Source organism: Homo sapiens, chromosome 12 (genome assembly GCF_000001405.40).
Source record: "Homo sapiens chromosome 12, GRCh38.p14 Primary Assembly".
NCBI lineage: Eukaryota > Metazoa > Chordata > Mammalia > Primates > Hominidae > Homo > Homo sapiens.
In genome coordinates, this window is record NC_000012.12 from 22,526,392 (window position 1) to 22,549,239 (window position 22,848).

The 22,848-nt window shown below is 39.3% G+C and overlaps 1 protein-coding gene across 33 annotated transcripts in view, besides 3 other annotated features; it reads right to left on the bottom strand.

Annotated features, from left to right (window-relative positions):
- C2CD5 (C2 calcium dependent domain containing 5) overlaps nucleotides 1-18,151 on the bottom strand; it is a 95,960-nt gene extending 77,809 nt beyond the window's left edge. For 30 of the 33 annotated variants that reach the window (NR_169598.1, NM_014802.3, XM_047429935.1 and 27 more), the window contains exons 1-4: nucleotides 17,929-18,151; nucleotides 17,670-17,788; nucleotides 8,867-8,953; nucleotides 1,330-1,501 (exon numbers count right to left, since the gene is read on the bottom strand). Coding sequence is in view for 29 of the 33 variants with exons in the window: in NM_014802.3 (NP_055617.1) it covers nucleotides 1,330-1,501; nucleotides 8,867-8,953; nucleotides 17,670-17,759 (349 nt within the window). In the remaining 4 variants the exon portion in view is untranslated. Of the gene's footprint in view, nucleotides 1-1,329; nucleotides 1,502-8,866; nucleotides 8,954-17,669; nucleotides 17,807-17,928 lie in introns of those variants that run through there. The other 3 variants (NM_001385330.1, NM_001385329.1, NM_001286174.3) reach the window with 2 other exon arrangements.
- Nucleotides 16,392-16,911: an enhancer, noted in NCBI's record as "NANOG-H3K4me1 hESC enhancer chr12:22695717-22696236 (GRCh37/hg19 assembly coordinates)". NCBI's record gives its function as "activates a minimal SCP1, AML or CMV promoter by ChIP-STARR-seq in primed H9 embryonic stem cells {active_cell/tissue: H9 hESC(primed)}" and the evidence as "EXISTENCE:reporter gene assay evidence [ECO:0000049][PMID:30033119]".
- Nucleotides 17,792-17,911: a silencer, noted in NCBI's record as "silent region_4289". NCBI's record gives its function as "represses an Ori minimal core promoter by ATAC-STARR-seq in GM12878 lymphoblastoid cells {active_cell/tissue: GM12878}" and the evidence as "EXISTENCE:reporter gene assay evidence [ECO:0000049][PMID:35858748]".
- Nucleotides 18,052-18,281: an enhancer, noted in NCBI's record as "active region_6098". NCBI's record gives its function as "activates an Ori minimal core promoter by ATAC-STARR-seq in GM12878 lymphoblastoid cells {active_cell/tissue: GM12878}" and the evidence as "EXISTENCE:reporter gene assay evidence [ECO:0000049][PMID:35858748]".

The window sequence follows — 22,848 nt, forward strand, 5'->3', positions numbered from 1 at the left end:
ACAAAGGAAGAAATTTTTAATAAAAATTAAGTAATTTACAGTGTCAATAGCTGTTAAGTGGCAGATCCAGGATTAAAATTCAGATCTTTATGATCCCAGATTATATATTCTTAACAATGCAAGAATCTGATTTAAAACAAAAGAAGTTTTATTCTTTTCAATGAATATAAGTTAAAGCAAGCTAACTAAAAAATTCCAAGCCAGGAGTAGTGGCTCATGCCTGTAATCTCAGTGCTTTGGGAGGCAAGGCAGGAGGACAGCTTGAGCTCAGGGGTTTGAGACCAGCCTGGGCAACACAGCGAGAAAAAAATTAAGTAAATAAAAAATTCCAAGAATAAGGGTTTTCAAAACATGCTCTGATAAATAAGAATGACCCAGATCTTATCTCTAAACATTTACTAAATATTTTCACTTGACTGTCCTGACTTCATGTCAAATTCATACTTATGGTGGAAGACTTAAGAAAACTGACTCAATAATTTACCTACTAAAATATTAAGAAAGCAAATCCCAGCACTCTGGGAAGCTGAGGCAGGCAGATCACTTGAGCTCTAGAGTTAAGGCCAGCCTAGCCAATATGGCAAAACCGTGTCTCTACAAAAAATTTAAAAATCAGCCAGGTGTCATGGCATGTGCCTGCAATGGCATGTGCCTGCAATCGCAACTGCCCGGGAGGCCCTGCTTCAGGCAACAAAAAACTTTTAAGTAACTTTTAAGTACAAAAATCATTATTAATCAGTTTGAAAATGTGTTTTAGAAACACAGTATCAATACTAGATCAGTTTTAAATCATGCATTTACTTACTATACTATACAAATTTAGCAAGCATTATCTCAAATTATGTTGAGAGAAGCAACAATTTTACTAACAATAATTTACTATTATTTATTTTTAAAAAGGCATCATCTTAAGATATATTATATACATATATATATATATTTTTTTTTTTTTTTTTTGAGCTAGAGTTTCACTCTTGTTGCACAGGACACGATCTCAGCTCACCACAACCTCCGCCTCCCGGGTTCAAGTGATTCTCCTGCCTCACCCTCCCAAGTAGCTGGGATTACAGGCATGCACCACCATGCCCAGCTAATTTTGTATTTTTAGTAGAGACGGGGTTTCTCCATGTTGATCAGGCTGGTCTCGAACTCCCGACCTCAGGTGATCCACCCGCCTCAGCCTCCCAAAGTGCTGGGATTACAGGCATGAGCCACCGCACCTAGCCTAAAGATACATATTTTAAACCAGCAAATATAGCACAAATGTCTTTAAGGACAAATAAAAAAGATTAAGATTGTTATTTATAATACTTTCTTATTATTCCTTACCATGTATGGTGTCATAAATTGGAAACCATCCTGAGATGACTGTTGCAGCTTCACTATACAGTAAAGGATCAATATCAATGTACACTTTACCAATGGCATCATTTGCACTGTAAGTATCATGGTCAAGAACTGTGATCTGTAAAGGTTCATCTTGTAAGTCTTCATCATCCACCTACAAGTATACCTTAAAATTAAAACTCATATAGTTTTTAAATCTTAATTACCACAAATGTATACCTATATCAAATGAAAAGGATGACACATCTGCAAATAAAATCTTACAGATTTCTAAGCACCAAAGTAAAGAAAAGAATTAACACACAAAAAGATATAGCTCCTTTTCCTACACAATATCCCATCTTTCTAAAGAAAAAAAGTTTATCTCTCAGCACAAGACTGGGATGACTAACAACAAAAAAATTTAAATCTCAATTTTTTTTACATATTATCCTGTGTTTTACAACTTTGCCTATGATACATAGCAAAAATGCCTAAGGAATGTCATATTAGAGTTCATGTAGTATCTATAGAGAGAAGAATGCTAATTGAGCACAATGACACCACAATTTCTAAGGGCGATTTCAGAGAACAGAACCATAAGCAAAATTAACATTATGTGTAAGAAAAAACAACCTAAGTTCACAAATTAAGTTCATGATATAAACATCTACCCTCTCTCCTTTTATTTAGTCATTATCGAGTTGTTATCATATGCCAAACACTGTGCCAAACAGAGGCATTTACAATGGAGAACAGTGCAAAATGATTTCCTCATGGAAGACGTACTCACTATTTTGGCTGCCACCTTCTGGATATCATGCCATTATCTAATTTACCAGTCCCCTTCATCAAATATAGTGGCCAGAAGGGAACATATTATAGACACTATTAAGATTGGGACAGAATACCAAAGGATTATTATTTTCTATAATTAGAAAATTATACTTTTAAAATGCAGTCCATGGATGTTCTTCTTTACATCAGACATACCATACTATTAAGACTGAGTCTGTGGTTGGCTAAAATCTCTGTATCATTCTTACATATGCTTTGGTCAAGTGATAGCTCTGCAACCCTTATACTCTGGTTGGTTTTTTAAACTTGGATATGAAACATTTATGCCTTTCCCTATCCCCTATTTAATTTATTGTTGATGTTAAGCTAATAATCCAGCCTCTGAAGATTATTTTAAAAATTAAAGAATATTAAGGAATTATTGATATCATTAGTGTGATAATGTGATCTAAGGTTTTGTTTATTTATAAGGGGTCCTCCTTTATAAGAGGTATATAATTTGGAATTCACAGATGAAATCATATAACATCTCAAATTTGCCTTAAAATATCCCCACAAGGAAAACCGGGGTGGGCAGGAGTTAAAAAGGCAAAACAAGAACAGTAGAACGTAGACAGCTGTTAAAGGTGGGTGAGGTTCAATATACTAATCTATCTTTGTGCATGCTTGAAATTTTCCATAATGAAATGTTAAAATAAAATGATCATTTTGAATCCCAATCCATTCCAAATCATCTGTCATCCAATGGCATTCTCTCCACTACTATTGTTATGTATACATTTAACAGAAGAGAAAGAATCATAAACCAAACCATTAACCATTACTCTAAGACATTCCCCCCAATTTCTAACTCCATTAAAAATACTCTCTGTATATACTTATTTAACCACCTGTACATTCACCTCTGAGTATTATTTTTTCTCATGGTACACTAAGGTATCCCTTCCCTGACATTAGGGGGTGCTATACTAACAACTAAGTGACTAAAAATAGCTTGTGATACATACATAGATAGCTAACAAGATGAATAACAGGGAAAATCAAGAATTAATCATAATGAATTAAGAATATTTAGTACAGTAAATGAAGCCTATCTGGAATCGCAAAATATTATAAATTAAGACTTTCTGAGAAATGTTTTAAATGTTTAAATTAGCAATATGCACTGCCAAAAGACTGCATTTCTTAGCCTCCCTTGCAACTAAATGTGATACAAGCATAAATCATTACAGAGAGCTTGGTAGGGAGGGGGCAAACTTGTTAAAGAAGGCTTGCTCATCTGAAACTGTTATGTTAACTCATCAGCTCCTCCTCCTGGACTCCCCTTCACTCTAGCTCCTTCTGCCAGCCTGGAACACTCATGTGCTCACTGGAACTCCAGGTGCTAAACTGGAGCCAAAAGGACCTTGAATCACTTTAAGAGAAACCACAGGCTATGTATAGATGATGGAGTCCCAAATGACTGCGTGGAGCAACCACACTACCCTTACACTGCCTGGCACGACATTTCTTTCACATAAGAGAAAAACATCTATTTTGCTTAAGACATGTATTTGAGTGCTATATATATATATATATATATATATATATATATATACACACACACACACACACACACACACACAGTGTATATATATTATACACAACTGTATACATAACAACTATATATACAACTGTGTATATATATACAGTATATATATAACTGTATATATACAACTATGTGTATATGTATACATACAACTGTGTATATATATATACACAACTGTGTGTGTATATATATTTAAAACTGAATATATATATATAACTGAATGCAATTAACAACTGATAAACAGGGTTAAAAAAAGTACTACATAATCAATGTTAACTATAAACACAAAGTTTTAAGTACATTTTTCACAGCATATATATTATTCGGGAAGACTAGTCAAAACAGTAACTTACTAAATTTTTTTTTTTTTTTAAGACGGAGTCTCACTCTGTCACCCAGGCTGGAGTGCAATGGCGTGATCTCGACTCACTGCAACCTCTGCCTCCCAGGTTCAAGCGATTCTTGGGCCTCGGCCTCCCACATAGCTGGGATTACAGGTTCACACCACCACACCCGGCTAATTTTTGTATTTTAGTAGAGACGGGGTTTCACTCTGTTGCCCAGGCTGGTCTTGAACCCTGGATCTCAGGTGATTCGCCTGCCTCGGCTTCCCAAAGTCCCAAGATTATAGCTGTGAGCCACTGCACCCAGCCACTAACTTAAGAAATTTTAAGGGAACTGCCTGGTAAATCCCTTATTTCAGAAAATAAATATATTATTTTTCATATTGTTAAGTAAGCTGCTTGAGTACTCACTAGCTTTAAAAAATACCAGTTTATTACCATCATCATTAAAATGAAATATCATTTTTTAATATTTCCTAGTATCATGAAAATTACTCTGACACATGAAGCTTGCCTCCTCCCACCATTCCAATAACAATGTAATGAAAACTATTCGTTTTTAACCATTTCTAGGTTATAGTTGGGGGGGAAAGGCTATCAAAATAAACTATATAAACATCCCAGTGTTTTGCCTGGGTAATGAAGATAGACTCTAATTCTAAATCCATCTGAAATCATGTAAGGAAGTTACTCTGATTATTTTTTGACACATATATTCCACACCTTTACCTTAATAATGTAGTTTAAAATGCCACAATAGACTCAATACATGTGCAACGGGTCTTTCAAAATAGATAGTGGCATTTTAGAAGCAGCTAAAAGAAAAATTTGTACATATACACAAAAGAAAATGAGAAGAGAATCAAAATATTTCACCATGAAAATATCAACTAAAAATATGAATTTGTAGGACTCTCACTTCCTGATTGCAAAACTCACTACAAAGCTATAGTAATCAAAACAGTATGGTAATAGTATAAAGACAGACATACAGACCAATGGAATGGAGTTGAGAGTGCGGAAATAAATCCTTACATCTATGTCCAACTGATTTTTTTTAACTTGCCTCAAAGGTAAAGTCCTAAACAATTTACTGACTTCCAGTTCAATGTTCTAGCAGATAACATGGAAGTCCATTTTAAAAGAGGAGGAGTTTACAGAAACTAGAAATTACCTTCCTTAGAGAGATCCATTTGCTTGAAAACCTTTGGGTAAAAGCTACTGGGAGGTTAAGAATAACTGTTTCTATAACTGAGTCCTTTTGACAGAAGACTGAGACACAGCCAAGCTACTCTGATGAGGTCGTAATTTTGAGAAACACAGTTATATTCCACAGAGATAATAAATAAAAGCTGTCACTGTCCATAAATGCTGAGTCTACAGACGAGGTACACCTTTCTTATACAAACTGAGATTTAATTTTAGCAACAAAAGCTTTTCAAACTGCAGTTCTATTTTTTTAGCACACCTACACCACTCAGACTAATTAAACTATACATTAACGAAAGAACAGAAGATATACCCCAAAATGCTAATATTTAAACCCACTTTCTGCCAAACGCTGAATGTCTATCCAAAATGCTGAGTGATTTAAAAATATTATTCCCAGGCCGGGCATTACGCCTGTAATCCCAGCACTTTGGGAGGCCAAGGTGGGTGGATCACCTGAGGTCGCGAGTTTGAGAACAGCTTGACCAACATGGAGAAACCCTGTCTCTACTAAAAATACAAAATTAGCCAGGTGTGGTGGCGCATGACTGTACTCCCAGCTACTCAAGAGGCTGAGGCAGGAGAATCGCTTGAACCTGAGAGGCAGAGGTTGCAGTGAGCCAAGATCCCACCATTGCCCTCCAGCCTGGGCAACGGGAGTGAAACTCCGTCTCAAAAAAAAAAAAAAGTTTACATATATTATTCTCTTTTTTTTGACTAGTGCAACTCATATTAACATACAGCAACATGCTTCATAGCCACCTCAATACTACTCTGGAAAGAATTCATGTTTGAAAAAAAACAGAGGCTCCAAATGGTAAGGCTGTCTGAGGTCATCTGCAAATTAGCAGGCACCAGAAATAGAATTTGTTTTCTCTTAATCCAGACCTTTAAGCTTTTCCAATAGAGGGCAGCTATGCAGTATCCCAACCACTACAGAATGTGCCTTCCAACACTAAAAGAAAGATCACGGTCCTAATATAAACCATAAGCAAAGCAGCGCCTAAAAATCGTAGTGTCATTTCTTCCATCTTCAGGTATCAGTTTGGCAGGTTCCCCAGCATGATCAAAGCATCTTTCAAGCAAATCAATACTTTCCTTCCCTTGTTCTCTTTCACTGAAGAATGACACCTTACCCTGCAAGAGCTAAACTTTACCCAGGCTCCATAATGGTTATGAAATAGGCCTCAGAAAAGGCACAGCAGCCACAATGCTGCCCAATATAAGGGCCAGCATGAAATAGCAGGGGAAGAAAAACCAAATTGGTCCTCACAAGGTTCTTAAGTAGTCCAATGAAAATTCCAAAGAAGAAAATTTCAGTTCCAGCTGAGGGGTGAAGGAAGTGGTATCAGAGAAATGGGCAATATGTGTGGTAAATATTTACCGAGAGTCTATTACACGCTCTTCTGGGCGTTGAGGACATAGCAGTGAAGAAGAACAAAAAAAGCAGGGAAAACATTGCTGGCACAGGGAACAATAAATGACAAAGATGTTTAACTTGGGAAGGGGGGGTGGTGGGTAGAATGGGAGAATGTAAGATGGAGGTGTGGTGGTCTGGTAATAGCTTTGGAGTCAGGCAGTCTTCGGTTTGAAACCTCACTCTACCACTTAGCTAGCTCTGGGTTGGACTTCTGAGTCATCTTAAAATAAAAGGTGCCTTCACGGCATTGTGAGAATTGAATGAGGTTAACACATGTAAAGCACTTCACCAGCGTCTGGGCTATAATAAGCAGTCTGTAAATGAGAACTGTATCTCCTTTTGTATGTCATCTTGTTGTTCTCAAAGCCTAGTACAGTCCCTATAATCTCCTGGAGGATTGGGGCATGCCGACAGACCAAATCAACCCATGAAAAAATAAACAGATGTAGAGAGAAAGAGGGCAGAAACTGCAGGGAGGTGGCTGGGCGCAACATAAAACAGACATCCTAACAGTAACACAACGGACTTCCTAAGAAGAGCACAAGAGGAGAACATGAGTGATAGGGACCTCTACATTCAAGGGCCTCAAGGAAGGAAGCACAAGTGGGAAGAAGGGAGGAATGAAAAGAGACCTGGGTGAGGAGATGGGAGGCTCTCCTTTTGGAGAAGTCCCCTCAGATCACCAGGCCATGAGCCATTTGAACATAACCACCTCCTGTCTCTATGTGGACTACCAATCAATGGTAAAAGAACAGTCTCTTCAACAAATGTGCCCAAACAACTGAATTTCTACATGCATGAATTTCTACATACATGAATGAAGTTGGGGCCACGTGTGGTGGCTAACGCCTGTAATCCTAGCACTTTGGGAGGCCAAGGCAGGCAGATCACTTGAGGTCAGGAGTTTGAGACCAGCCGGGCCAACAGGGCAAAACCCCATCTCTACTAAAAATACAAAAAAATTAGCCAGGCATGATGGCGCATGCCTGTAATCCCAGCTACTAGGGAGGCTGAGGCAGGAGAATCGCTTGAACCCAGCAGGCGGAGGTTGCAGTGAGCCAAGATCGCACCATTGCACTCCAGCCTGGGCAACAAAGCAAGACTCTGTCTATTAAAAGAAAGGAATGAAGTTGGCCTCTTACTGCACTCCATTATAAAAATTAACTCCAAATGAATCCATGACCTACATATAGGAATTAAAACCATAAAACTCTTACAAAAAAACATAGGGGTAATCTTCATGACCTTAGAGTTGACAATGGATTCTTTGATTTCACACCAAAACAAAAATAAATATATTGGACTTCATCAAAATTTAAAACTTTTGCGCATCAAAGAAAATTATCAAGAAAGTAAAAAGACAACCTATTGAATGAGTGAAAATATTTGCAAATTATATATCTGATAATAAGTTAATATTCAGAATATATAAAGAACTTTTACAACTCAATAAAAATAACTCAATTAGAAAATAAAATGTGGCATACACATACAATGGGTTATTATTCAGCCATAAGAAGGAATAAAATTCTGATACATGTTACAGTGTGGATGAACCCTGAAAACATTATGCTGAGTAAAAGAAAGCAGATACAACAGGACAAGTATTATATGACTCCATTTATATGAAATATCTAGCATAAGCAAATTCAAAGAGACAGAAAGTAGATTAGAGGTCACCAGAGTCTAGGGAGAGGAGGGAATGGGAAGTTATTGGTTAGTGAGTACACAATTTCCATTTAGGATAAAGAAAAAGTTCTGGAAATAGCGGTGATGGTAGCAAAACACTGTGAATGTAATTAATGCTACCAAACTGTACACTTACAAATGATTTAAATGGCAATATTCACAATATATAGTACTACAATTTTTAAAAATTTATTTTAATCCATATATTATTCTTAAGTAATTTTTGGTATGTGCTAAAATCTAGAGAAAACTACAATAATAATAATATAATACATCTGAAGACTTCTTTTGTTAATGTGTTATCATATACTGTATTTTCTTAAATGTAATACAACTTTTTTTAGACTCAATATTCCTAGGTAAGCAGAAAAGAAAATATTTTTGTGATGTAGAAATACTACTATGCCTGAAATAAAAGGTTCTCATTATTCCTGAGGGAAAAGAGTCACCTCAAAAAAATACACTCAAAAATGCTGACATTTAAAAACTTACCTCAAATTTAAACCACTCCGAGTTCCACTGAGGGTTGAGTGACTTAAGGTACACATCTGTTTTAAAGGTGGTATTACCAAATTTTACCTAAAAACAAATAAGAAATTATTCACATATGAATATCAAAAATGTGAATAAAAGTAAATTTTAATGTCAGCCAACCAATAGAAGGATAAACCATAAAGGGGACAAAAGACTATTATCCTCTGGGACAAAGGGAAGAAGGTACAGATGGATCCAGGTAAGATTGTAGACTAATAATAATACCCACAACAAGCAATCACCCATTGCTCTGCTTGACCAGCTCCACACATCACAAAGAACTAACTTCCTCCGTTTCTAAAGAGCATATAGAGAGCAATAAAAGATCAACAACCCAATAGAAAAAATAGGCAAAGGATATGATCAGGTAAGTCACAGAAATGGAAATACAGCTGTCTTTAACCACATCAAAAGATGATCAACCTCATTCATACTAAGAGAAATGCAAACTAAAATATTTTTACTTATCAGGCTGGCAAAGACCAAAAGATTTGAAAACAGAATTGGTGCGGTACTGTCATGCTTTGCTGGTAGGAGTTGTAGAACAATCTCTACAGAGACTTTGAAAACACATCAAAATTTTAAATGCCTTAAATCCCTTTTAAGCTAGCAATTCTACTTCTTAGAATTTATCCCACAGAGGTACACAATGGCATATATCAGCAGCATTACTGTAGCAAAAGCTTGGAAACAAGTTAAATATCTGTCAATATGGAACTAATTAAATTTATGGTAAAGCAACACAATGTAGCACTAAATAGAATAAAGCAGTTCTCCATGCACTGGTAAGGAACAACTTCCAAGATACATCTTTCTACTGCAGATATATGGCATTCTTCAGCACAAAAAAAAAAAAGACAGAATTCATATAATAGTTATATGTCTGTATATGCGCACATTATTTCTAGAAGTATATACAAGAAATAGTAACAATGGCCACTACAAACAGCAGAAGAGGTTGGTTAAAGGAGAGGCTGTGAAAGAGAAGCTGACTCACTTTGTACCTTTTGAATTTTGAACCATGCATAATACTACCTATTTTAAATGCATTATTTTAAAATTCAAAAACATCAAAAATTAAAATAAAAATGGCAATAACTTTATTTTCATTCAAATTACAGAATCCTAGGTTTGCTACCAGGAATTTAACCTACAGAAGTACTTTCACATAAGCCCTCCCCACCAAAAATATAGTCATTCAGCAGGAAAGTGACTGAACAAATCATGTGCCCTATAAATAATGGAGTCGACTATATGTACTGTCACTAGAAGATATTACACAATAACTGAAAAAACAAGTAGCAGAATATATAAAGTATGATTATATTTGTTTCTAAAAATGTGATATAGATATACAAGTATTTGTTAAGAGGATGAAGAATAGATTAACATAAGCCAAAGAACTGACAGCAATTATCTCTGAAGAAGGGACTGATAGGGTGTAGGAAATAGAGTACAGTGGTGTAAGAAGAAAGTAAGGGGTTTTCGAGTTATATTTGAGTGTTTCAATCTTTTTTAATGGGGAGCATTCAAGTATTACTTGCATAATTTTTTTAATCACAATGATAAAGAAATGAAACTTAATGAGGAAAAAGGAAGAATAGAGGTTCTTGTTTAATTACTAATTTAATTTTCATTCCATTTAAATATTCAAGGCATGATGGAAATACTTATTGTTTAATTTATCTAAAGCTGCTTTATATGAAGTAAAATACTGTTAGGATTTATAAAAACATTCAAAATCATTCAAAAGCAATATACTTAAGGGTTTTGGCTCAACTGCCAAAAGTAGTACATGATTTTTTAAGTGACAAGTTTAGAGCACTCTACAGTTTTGTCCCACTATAACAGTTGTGCTATACTGTGCCTTTTTGTTGTTGTGCAACTGTTCATTCTAAATAAAGATCCGATAGTCCACAAACTGCTTTAAACAAACAAAAAAGACTTTAGAAAAAAGGAAAAGTCATCAGCCAGGCAGGGTGGTGCGTGCCTGGAGTCCCTGCTACTCAAGAAGCTAAGGCAAGAGGAGCTTGAAGCCAGGAGTTCAAGGCTGCTGCATTCAGGCCTGGGCAACAGAGCAAGACCCAGTCTTTCAAACAAGAAAACAAATAAAGGACAAGAAACAAAAAGAAAAAGGCTGGAGTGTGTATTTTGCCAACATTGGATGATTTCCACTCTAGTACAGAAGAATCTCGGTTCACTTAGTCTTAATTTAATTAAAAGGACATTTTATTACTCAGCAATTAAATGAATGCCTTATAACTCTGTTAAAGAACATCAGGGATTTTAATGGAGATTTCCCCCAGTAAAGTAAAGCATTCTCTTTACCTACTCATTAGCTAAATTACCTTGAGAAAGTTATTAACCTGTTATTTAAATTGGCTTCCTCCTCTGAAAAGTGGGATTGTAAGTGAGCATTACATGATATAACACATGTAGAGACCTAGCAAAATGTCTGCACATAGGAAATATTCATTAAATATTTACTTTCCTCTCCCTGTTCCCTCAAAGGTTCCTAGAAAAACACAAGATGACAATGTAGTTTAGCCAAACAATTGGTAACACACATTAACATTCAGATATATTTCCATTAATACTTCGCTTGTACAGAACCCCATCTTACTCTAGAGATTCCTGCAAGACTACTCGTCTTGAAGAATTATTTGGTCTTCACTGGGTCCCTACACTCCTGACGTCATATATAGTGGAAATTCTCTCAATCAATGCAACCAGGACCAATACTTGATCAGTTAATCAAATAACTTGGTTAAATTAGAGGATCACTAAAAATAATACAAACTGTAAACATTTTAAGATAAAACATATAAACAAACATTCATTCCTGTCTTTTAATGTAAGGCTAAGACCTCTTCTTTGTGTAAAAGTCAACTGTTTAGTCATCTTTTTTTGCATAAGCCACATTCATCTCTGATTTCCAGTTTGGGTTGCTTTAAAAAGTACGAACAAAGAATCCTCTATTTTTTACAGTCTTTTCTCCACCTAATTCAAGAGCTATTTTTAGTAACCATTTCCATGTCTTTACATTCACTCATTTATATAAGGTTTAAATAAAATATAGTAAGAAATACAGTTGACATAAGCAGATTTGGGAATAAACACAACTGCCTCTTGGTAAAGTATATCAGCCAACTGATGGGAAACTCCAGACACACTGGAGAGTAGTCTTACCCAGAGGAGTATTTACGAATACGCTTTATGGAAGGATGCAGAACGCTGAGGATTGCAATGAGTCACTTAACGGAGGTTGTTAAGACAGCTTCAACTGTATTGACCTCTCCTCCTAATTTTTGGACTACTCAGTAATCTGTATCCCCCTTTCCTAGCCAGATTTATTTCCCACTTCTATTCAACAAGAATCTTCCTTTCAATCACATATGAATGAAATTCATTCAATTGAAATACATTCAATTACATCAATACATACTCTGTTCTTTTGCTTTTATCAAGTTTGTCCTAGTCACCTGAAAATTTTTTCTTCCTTTTTCTCTCTGCCTTTGTAAATTTTACCATCCTCCAGGCCCAGGATAAAGGTTTCTCATGACAAGCCCACGCTTCATTATCTCCCTCTTCTATGAACTTAAGTCTGTATCAAGCATTTATCCCTTTATTATATTGTAATCCTTCATTATCCCCCTTTTCCTGCATTAATTTTTCCCCTTTCTACTGGATTATTCCTATTAGCACACAAATAGGTTCTGTATCTTTTCATTTATTTTTTAAGTACTAAAACTACTTCTCAAACACCACAGTATTTTTCCTCCCCCCTTCATAGCCATACATCTTGAAACAGTTGCCTATTCATACTCTTTCTACTTCCTCACTTCCCATGTACTTTCTCTTTAAATCACTACAGGATGGGATTCCACCCTCATCATGCCTCTTGTCACAACCCCCATGTTGTCCAATCCAATAATTTTTCTGTCTTCTTACTTGACCTCAGTGACATCTGACAATTGAGCTTCCTTCCTCTTTCTAGAAACTTCCTCTCTTGCCTTCTAAGACATTATGTTCCCCATTTTTCTCCCACCCACTGGCTCACAATCTCAGTTTCCTTCCTCTAGTCCTCCTCTTCTAATAAACCTCTTAATATCAAGTTTTTTCAAGGATTCATCCTGTTTCTCTCCCTTCCCCTAAGTCACAGGTTTGCAAAAAAGACAGAACCAACTCCTAAAGCTTTGCAAAAAAGACAGAACCAACTCCAACTCCTAAAGAAGCTTTAGACATTTCTAGCAGTGGTTTTGGGGAAAATAGTAATTGCATTAAGTGAGGAAGGGCCAGAGATGCCAGGTATTCTTCAATGCAAGAGAGTTCCCAACAATGAAGACTTTTACCATGTCATGATTTTCAAATGTGCCACTAGATAATCACATGGGTAAGAAACCTACCTAGAAGACCAGGTGTGGTGGCTCATGCCTGTAATCCCCGCACTTTGGGAGGCCAATGTGGGTGGATCACCTGAGGTCAGGTGTTCAAGACCAGTCTGGGCAACATGGTGAAACCCTGTCTCTACAAAAATACAAAAAATTAGCCAGGCATGGTGGTGCACTGGTAGTCCCAGCTACTCAGGAGGCTGAGGCAGGAGAATCGCTTGAACCTGAGAGGCAGAGTTTACAGTGAGCTGAGATCACGCCATTGCACTCCAACCTGGGCAACAAGAGCGAAGCTCCGTCTCAAAAAAAAAAAAAAAAAAGAGAAAAAAAACCCTACCTAGAACCTCAGTTTTACAGATAGAAGTATTACAATCGGGTTTCAATGTACATAATTGTCAAGAACTACAACCATCATGTAAATCAAGAGGCAACTCTGCTTTTTCCCATGAGTTGACTATTTTGAAAAATCAGATAACCAATGGCAATGAAGATCTGAGATGCCAAAACTACACAACTGTCTCACTCTGTTTGAGAAGCAGTCACATTCACGTGGTTTTAACATAGGCGAGGCACTCCCTATTCTGTGTCCCAGCTTTATTTTCTCCATATATTATTCTTAAGTAATTTTTGGTATATGCTAAAATCTAGAGAAAACTAGACCATCCAGCATACTGTATCTTTTACTTACTTACCTTATTTATGAACTCTCTCCTCCCACTAAAATGTAAGTTCCGTGAATGAAGTTTTTTTAAATTTATTGCTATATCCCCAGCATCCAGTACAGTGTCTAATACATACAAAGGCTGAATTCATTGATTCATCTGATTACTTCATGTTTTCTATTATGGTCATGAAAAAGTACTTCCATATTAAAATAATAACAACAGGCCAGGCGCGGTGGCTCACATCTGTAATCCCAGCACTTTGGGAGACCAAGGCAGGTGGATCACCTGAGGTCAGGAGTTCAAGACCAGCCTGGCCAACATGGCGAAACCCCGTCGCTACTAAAAATACAAAAATTAGCTGGGCGCGGAGGCAAGCACCTGTAATCCCAGCTACTCTGGAGGCTGAGGCAGGACAATCGCTTGAACCCAGGTGACGGAAGTTGCAGTGAGCCAAGATCGTGCCACTACACTCCAGCCTGGGTGAAAGAGCAAGACTCTATCTCAAAAAAATAATAATGATAACAACAAAAACAAATACTTCTATTTGTTATAGTTAAACCGTGGTACTGATTTTTTAATTGTAAGGATATATTAACTAAAAAATATCATGCCAGGATAGAAAGGGTAGATTCCAAAATACCAGCTATCTAAAGGGAGTCCTGGGTCTCACAGTTGAGAAACACTGGCTTGTGTGCTCATTTTTAACTCAGACCTCTTTTTTTTGAATGCCATAGTCATAAATCACTTCCTTAACATCTCCAATTAAAGACCCTAAAGACATCACAAACCTAACATGCTCAAATGGAAAATGATCCTCCTCAATCTTTACCATCCCCCTGGAGTATCAGAAAACCCAATACTTCAGAAAGCTAGGAGTCATCTTTTAATCTATCTTCAAAATATACCTGGAATTCATCCACTTGTCCGCATTACCAAATCCATCACCTTGGATAACATTACCTGTTATTTGAACTATTATAGAATCTCCTAACTGCCTGATTTCTACTCTTTCCCCTTCAATCCATTCTCCATATAACAGTGCTCATCTTAACAAGGGCTTCTCAATGAATTTAGGGTAAAATTCAAACTCTTAATCATGGCCTTAGTCCTTGCAAGACTGGTTCTTTGATTAACTCTCCAACTTTATCTTATACTACTCTTCCCTTCACTGACTACGTGCCAGCCACACGCATTTTCCTTCACTTCTTAAAACACACCAAATCTCTACATGAGATCTCCGGGTTACCTTCTGTCCACCCACTCCCCTACACACACAAATATGCTCCCTCAGCAGCAGGCTCCTTCTCATCCAGCAGATCTTGGTTTTGACAAACACTTTTCTCAGGGGCCTCCCCTGATTACTCAACCTAAAGTAGGTGTTCCCTGTTGTTCTCTTTCTATTGTTCCCTTTCATGGCACCCATCCCAACTTGTAACTATATATTTAATAATTTATTTACCTTTTAAACATCTGTCTCTCCCACTAAAATATAAGCTGAATTAAGAGAAGGAACCAAGTCTGTCTTATTCACCATGTATATACATCGGCTAGACCAGTAACTAGCCCAGAGCCTGGCAAACGGCAGACACTCAATTTGTTCAAAGAAGGAAGTAATAAGTAACCCCTGAATCAGCCCCCTTCCTCACCAGCAAAATCCACCTAGTTATCAAGGCCTGACTATTTTAACCTAAGAAATGTCCCACAAATCTTTCTGTTCAAATCCATTCCTATTCCCATTCCCACATATTACCTGGATAATTTTACCACCTTCTTAACTGATCTCCCTGCCACACTTCCCATCTGTCTAGTCCATCAATAGCATCCCCATTCAGGCCATCCTATAAAGAAACAAACTAATACAAACATGATCTTATTTTATTTCTGCTTAAAAAACTCCCCTGGCCAGGCGTGGTGGCTCAGGCCCATAATCCCAGCACTTTGGGAGGCCGAAGCGGGAGAGGCAGGAGGATGGCTTGAGGCCAGGAGTTGGAGGCTGCAGTGACCTGCATTCAGCTTCCTTGTCGCTCCTTATAAATATTACAGAAAATGAGGTTTTATAGAAAATGGGGCTTTCCAGCCTCATCCCTAACAAGCTCCACTACCCACATATCTCATACCCTTTCCTCCAGACACGTACTAAACTAAGGCAGTTTCCTGAACATACTATATATCCCAGTCTATGCCTTTGCCTTTGATGTTCCCTTTGCCTGGTAAAATCCTGGGTGTCCTTCAAGGCCCACTTCAAATGTCACTTTCACAAGAAGCCTTTCTCAACCTTCAGAGACAGAATTCTTTCCATATTCTAATACAATACTCATCACTTTGGTGAGGCCGTATTAGCAGAGTGGTTAAGAGAACAAACTGTCAGGCTGTGGAGGTTTGCAAGCTATGTAACCTTAAGCAAATTATTTACCCTTCCTGGGCCTCAGTTACATCCACTGTAACATGGGACAATAACAATACTCCTATAGCAGGACTGTTGTGAAAACTAAGAATTTAAAAGTACTTAGTACAGATCTGGCAATTATTAAATTCAACACGTTACCTATTAGTTATTAAATAGGCTGTGTGGGTCAATGTCTGAACTACCGGAAAGCAAACACTATGTTTTAGTTATTTGTGGATTCCTATCACCTAACATCTGGCACAAGAGCACTCAAGAACTTTCTCAAATGAAGTGATTAAGAATCACCATGACAATGGGCAGGGGAGGCAGTGAACTGTAATTATTCGGTTAGAGAACATTTAGGAAACATCAGGAATATTGAGATGAAATCGAGCTATATATTATGATATATCTATCCATCAATTCTAAGCACTAATAGCCCAAATGATTGCTGCTCTAATGCTCTGGCTCATCACGCCAATTTTTATTACAATCTTTACTTGGCTTCTTTCAGACTCTGGGTTATTACCTTCCGGCCGTAGGCCTTTACTAATTTGCATGACTTTTAAACTAATCATTAGACTTAAAAAGCAATTTTGCAATTTAAGTCCATGGCAATTAAATGACTTCCTACCTCAAGGCGCTAAATTACCCTGAAACACCTCATCAGACCTACCAGCCTATACAAGAGCAGGAAGTGTTGCAGTTGTGTTTTAGAACGTGCATGGCAGATTCACAAAATGTTAGGCATGAGAGTGGATTTCCTCGCACTGTGGGACTCCAAGTGCCCATAAAGGGCTTCATGCACCTTCTTAAACATGATGTCCAGCACTCTGGCCACCCCTTCCAAGGGTGTGTGTGTGCCTGTGTGTGTGTGTGTTTCAGTGGCTGCGGGGCCACACCTTGGGATCTCCTGAGTGGCAGGTGGCCTGTTAATGAGTCCTGACATCAGAGTCATTCCGGCATTTGTGTGTGTGTGTGTGTATGTGTGTGAGTGTGTCGGTGGCTGCGCGGCCACGCCTTGGGATCTCCTGAGTGGCAGGTGGCCTGTTAATGAGTCCTGACATCAGGGTCACCCCCGCATGCACAACAGTACAAGCCTCCCCGCGCAGCGGACTGTGCCGCGGACGCCTGCAAGCCGTGCACCCATCGCACACACTGAGGTCTCGGCGGTCATCCCTCGTGGGAGAGCTGGACAACCACGGCCGAAGGGAGGGCAGTCGAGGGGGGAATAGGCTGAGGGGCTGGGGGCGAGGTGGGTAGATCCTTCACAGGGCTTGGCGCTCCCTGTGTTTTGAGGGGCAGGACCCTGCACCAACCTCCACGAAGGCATCAGTCAGGTCACTAGCACGGTCCATCACTGGCAAATGGCGCCCGGCCACGATTTTCACCTTCAGCTTCCCTGGCATGGTCTCGGTTTCGGCCTCTTCTTGGGCTCCTGCAGAAACAAACAAACGAGTCTGCGCCGAGCGCGGGGCCGGCGGGAGAGGGGCGGAGGCGCGCGGGGTAACTGACAGCGAAGGAGCGCGCGGGGGCGCGCGCGGGCGCCCGGCAGTCGCGCCACGGGTCGCCACTCACTGTCGCAGGAGGAAGGGTGCTGTCCCGCGCGGGTGCTGAGACCTCATTCCGGAGAGGCGGCGGGAGGAAGGGCTTTGATGGGTTCTTCCGTCCCGGCCCCACAAGGCTGGGACGAAAAGCAAAACCCAGTCAGCATCCCGTTGAGCCTCTGCCGCCCCTGCTTGTCTCTCCTCCCCCGCTCTCAAAAATGGCGGCTCTCGGGGCGCGGAAGAAAGCATCGATCGTTCGGCGCTCTGCCCACTTGGCGGGGCGAAACTAAACTCGCCGAGGAAAGATAAGGGGGCGGGGCTGACGTTGAGAAAGCTGGAGGGCAGGGAAATGGGCCGAGTCCTGCATCATCCACCGAGTGGGGGCTGTGGATAGGTGCGGCGCTGCTTCCCTGGAGGGAAACGCTCCATCTTGCGGGCCGAAGCGCGAGTGCTGCTCTGTGACAGCCTCCGGCCGCGGCCTTCCCAGCTGCTACCGCCGCTTTTCGGATGGGCTGTGATAGATGGAGTAGCAGCGAAGACTGCTAGAAGAGCGTTTTCAGTCGGCCTTTAGTGATTCGTAAAACCAAATTAGCTGGTTTCTACTTGGAAGGGGTACAGGTGCGTGTGGTGGTTCCAGTTTTCTGTGAAATAGAGTTAGATGGCCAGGCACAGTGGCTCACGTCTGTAATCCCAGCACTTTGGGTGGCCGAGGCGGGCGGATCACCTGAGGTCAGGAGTTCAAGACCAGCCTGGACAACATGGCGAAACCCCGTCTCTACTAAAAATACAAAAATTAGCTGGGCGTCGTGGCGAGCGCCTCTAATTCCAGCTACTCAGGAGGCTGAGGCAGGAAAATCGCTTGAACCTGCGAGGCGGAGGTTGCAGTGAGCCGAGATCACTCCTCTGTCTCCAAAAAAAGAAAAAAAAGAAAGAAAGAAATAGAGATACCAGGCACATCTCGAATAGTGAAATAAATATTTAGTGAAATATTTTATTCAGTCATAGGCACTTGTGTTGTGCACTGGGTCACAGATATTACTGTGGGCGGGGTGGGGGAGGTCACCTTGAAATCCAAAGTCTCCTCTTGAAAAAAAGTTTCTGCTGGTAGGTGTGGTGGCTCAGATTTGTAATCCCAGCACTGTGGGAGGCTGAGGTGGGAGGATCGATTGAGTCCAGGAGTTCGAGACCAGCCTCATGGAGACGAGGCAACACAGTAAGACCCCTTCTTTACAAGAAATGCAAAAATTAGCTGGGCCGGTGGCTCGTCTGTGGTCTCAGCTACCTAGGAAGCTGAGGTGGGAGAATCTGGGAGAATTGCTTGAGCCCAGGAGTTTGAGGCTGCAGTGAGCTGCCATCTCACCACTGCACCCCAACCTGGGCAACAGAGCAAAACTCTGTCTCTTAAAAAAAATTTTTTTTTAATTAAATGTCCTGCACTCTTAGATCATCTCAGTGTTCTTATTAAGCATCCACAAGCCTAAAGATAAGACCTACAGTAGTAGCAGAAGTTCAGGACTTCCTACCATGGAAAGTATAGTCAACCACAAGAAATAAACATGGAGAGCGTTAAACATCTTGAAGAATTGACCCAACTATAAATAAAGTAAGGTGTTATCTACAGGCTCAGACCATATTAGGGAAATTGAGGCACACACAAGATGTAAATAAATCAGTCCTTACCAAATATCAAAATCAGCATTGACAGTATACCCAGTATCAACAAAATCAGAGTTCATGCCGGCTCAAAGATTGTAACATTTCATTCCTAAGTGAAGATATCCGTATGATCTTTTTAACTTCGAAAATACTCAATAGAGTAAATACTCCAAACAGTAGTGATCCCGAATTATCTTTTCATGACAAAAATTCCTTCTATGGCAGGAATATTGTTCACATAAGTGAGAAATTGAACTCCTACAGAGAAAACGACTTCCTCAAAATAAAAATCTAAAAAAATCGCTTGCTTTTTGGACTAGAGAAACTTTTATCAATTCAAACTATGTCAAAGGAATAGGGGTCATAGATCCCATGCGAATTTCCTTAGGTCCACCTGCAGCTTTTTCTGGAGTCTGACTCTGCCCTTAAAATACCCTTGCCAGAATTCTGAAGGTTGGCTACACTATGTGATCAACGTTTTTTATTTATTTATTTATTTAGAGACAGGGACTCACTCTGTGTCCCACACTGGAGTGCAGTGACATGATCATAGCTCACTACAGCCTCAATCTTCTGGGCCAAGCGATCCTCCCACCTCAGCCCCCCAAGTTCCTGGGACTACAAGCACATACCACCATGCACCGCTAGTTTTTTAAATTTTTTGAAGAGATGGAGTCTCCCTGTATTGCCCAGGCTGGTCTCAATCCTGGTTTAAGCCATCCTCCTGCCTTGACCTCACAAAGTGGTGGGATTACAGGCATGAGCCATCTTGCCCGGCATGATCAGTGTTTTTTGTTGTTTTGGGTGGTAGAGTTGAAGTCGTTTTTGTGGTGAAATCGAAGTATTACCGTATTACCAACTCATTTTTTAAAATATGAAATGTATAAAGAAAAAATATTAGAAAATTGAAGTTTAGCACCAATATTAATGGAAAATAATGCATTGTGTTCCAAAATGTAAAAAGTTGCAAATTGCACAATTAGAGGTTAGCAATCTCAGCCTCCTAATTAGTAGACTTTGAGGTACTTGTACGTACTTGTTGCCTTAGGCTTCATCAACAAGAGATTATAATTAAGATGCTTCCTGAAAACTATTTTTAGTAGATTTAAGCCTGACTTCAGTTGAACTGTTTCCTAATAATTGTTCTCGTTTGTTTTCATTAATGCTGGGAACAGTGCTAACTTTCTGACAAATCTACCATGATGTGACTCCTGATTACCTTGTTTAGCTTCATACCCTGACACTCTTTTTGCATTTTAAATTATCAATAACAAGAATTAACGTGTATTGATGGTTTGCCGCACACCAGCTACTGAATTCAGCGTTTCACAGCTGTTAAGGCTCCCTAAAATCCTGAGGTAGGAATTATCAGCCTTCATTTTATAAATGAGAAAATTATGGCTTTTCAAAGCTCTGGTGATTACCCAAGGTCACAAAGCTTCTAATGATAGAGGCAGGTTTTAAATCTAGACAATGTGATTCCAAGAACTCACGTCTTTGAAGATTACATGTAGTTTTCTAATAAACTATACTTTTCCTTCTTCCTGGAGTATCTCTCTCATAGTCATCCTACCAAATAGCTATGAATTCATAACTCAGTTCAAAAGTCAATACTCTGGTTTCTCTTTAGAGTGTATAAATCTTTTGCCTTTTACAAAAGTCACTTCTACATCTTCTCTAATCTCCTTCCTAATAAATATGCTCTTCACTCCCACCTATGCTACTACTAAATCTAATACATTTGTTATTATACTTTCCATGCAATAATTATTTATCCATCTCTCTCCCCCCCAACCCCCACTAAACCATGAGCACTCTGAGGGAATGGATTGCTTCTCACTCATCTCTCAATTCTCAGTTCTTTGTCCTGTGCCCTTCATGTGATCAACAAATTATTGTGGAATTAAATTAACAGTTAACACTTGCTATTACTACTTAGATTGCTCTTCTTTCCTGGCTTCCTAAAATGTTCCTGTTAATCTTTCCCATTCTTTCAGGTTAAATTACTCAAGGGTTGTCAGTACTTGGTGCCCTCTCCTCACTTCCTAAGCGCTCCAAAAACTATTAATATCTGGGTTTAGCCACCACCACTCTACAAAAACAGCTTTCACTAATGCCATCAATAACCTCTGGTTGCTAAATGCAATGAACACTTTTTTTAGTTTTAAGTTTTTATTTTTGAGATGGGGTCTTGCTGTGTTGCCCAGACTGGTCTCAAACCCTTGGGTTCATGCAGTCCTTCTGCCTCAGGCTCCCAAGTTGCTGAGACTACAGGCACGTGCCACCATGCCTGGCTTCAGTTTTTTATTTACGTGACTCTCAGTAGCATTTGATGCTGTTGACCACGCTGTCCTTAAAATAATCTTCCTCTTGGTATTCAGAAACCAAGCTTCTCTTACCTATTCTGGTTTATACATCTGTCTTCTCAGCCTACTCATTGTCCTTAACTATTAAATATGTGTTTTTCTCAGGTTCAGTTTTTGTCTCTATTCTCTTCCAACTGTACTGTCTCCCTAGGTGATCTCATCCAAGCTCACAATTTTAATTTCCATCTGTTTAGTCAGGGACTCTCAAATCGTTATCTTTAGTCTGTAACTCGCTTCTGGGATCTTGACCCATATATGCAACTGCCAAGTTACTATTTCCATTTGGAGTATCAAAGTGACCTCAAAAGTCAAGATGTCCAAAAGTGACCTCAAAAGTCAAGATGTCCAAAACTGACCTGATTTTCTTTACCTTTCCCATAACTACAACAACGAGAATGACAACAACAACAACAAAAGACCTGGTAGTCTTCTACTAAACAGCAATGCCAACTACATAGTCAATTGCTCAAGCCAGAAACTCACTGATTTAAGTTTGAAAGTGGGCTGGGATTACAAGTATAATTATACAAATGACAACTTGGGCTCAGTTCAGTTACTTTTGCTTTGATTTTTTTTTTTCCTTTGGGCCAGGGTCCCACTCTGTTACCCAGGCTACAGTGCGGTGGCAAGATCACAGTTCACCACAGCCTCAACCTCCCAGGCTCAGGTGATCCTCCAACCTTAGCCTCCTGAATAGCTGGGACTGCAGGCGCACACCACCACATCTGGCTAATTTTTATATTTTAGTAGAGATGAGGTCTCCCCATGTTGCCCAGGCTGATCTCGAACTCTTGGGCTCAAGTGATCTGCCTGCCTCATCCTCCCAAAGTGCTAGGATTGCAGGTGTGAGCCACCATGTGGCTCACTTTTGCTTTGATTAAGGAGTAAAAATGAGATAAGTAGGCATCTAGGTAAACTCATCATCTTAT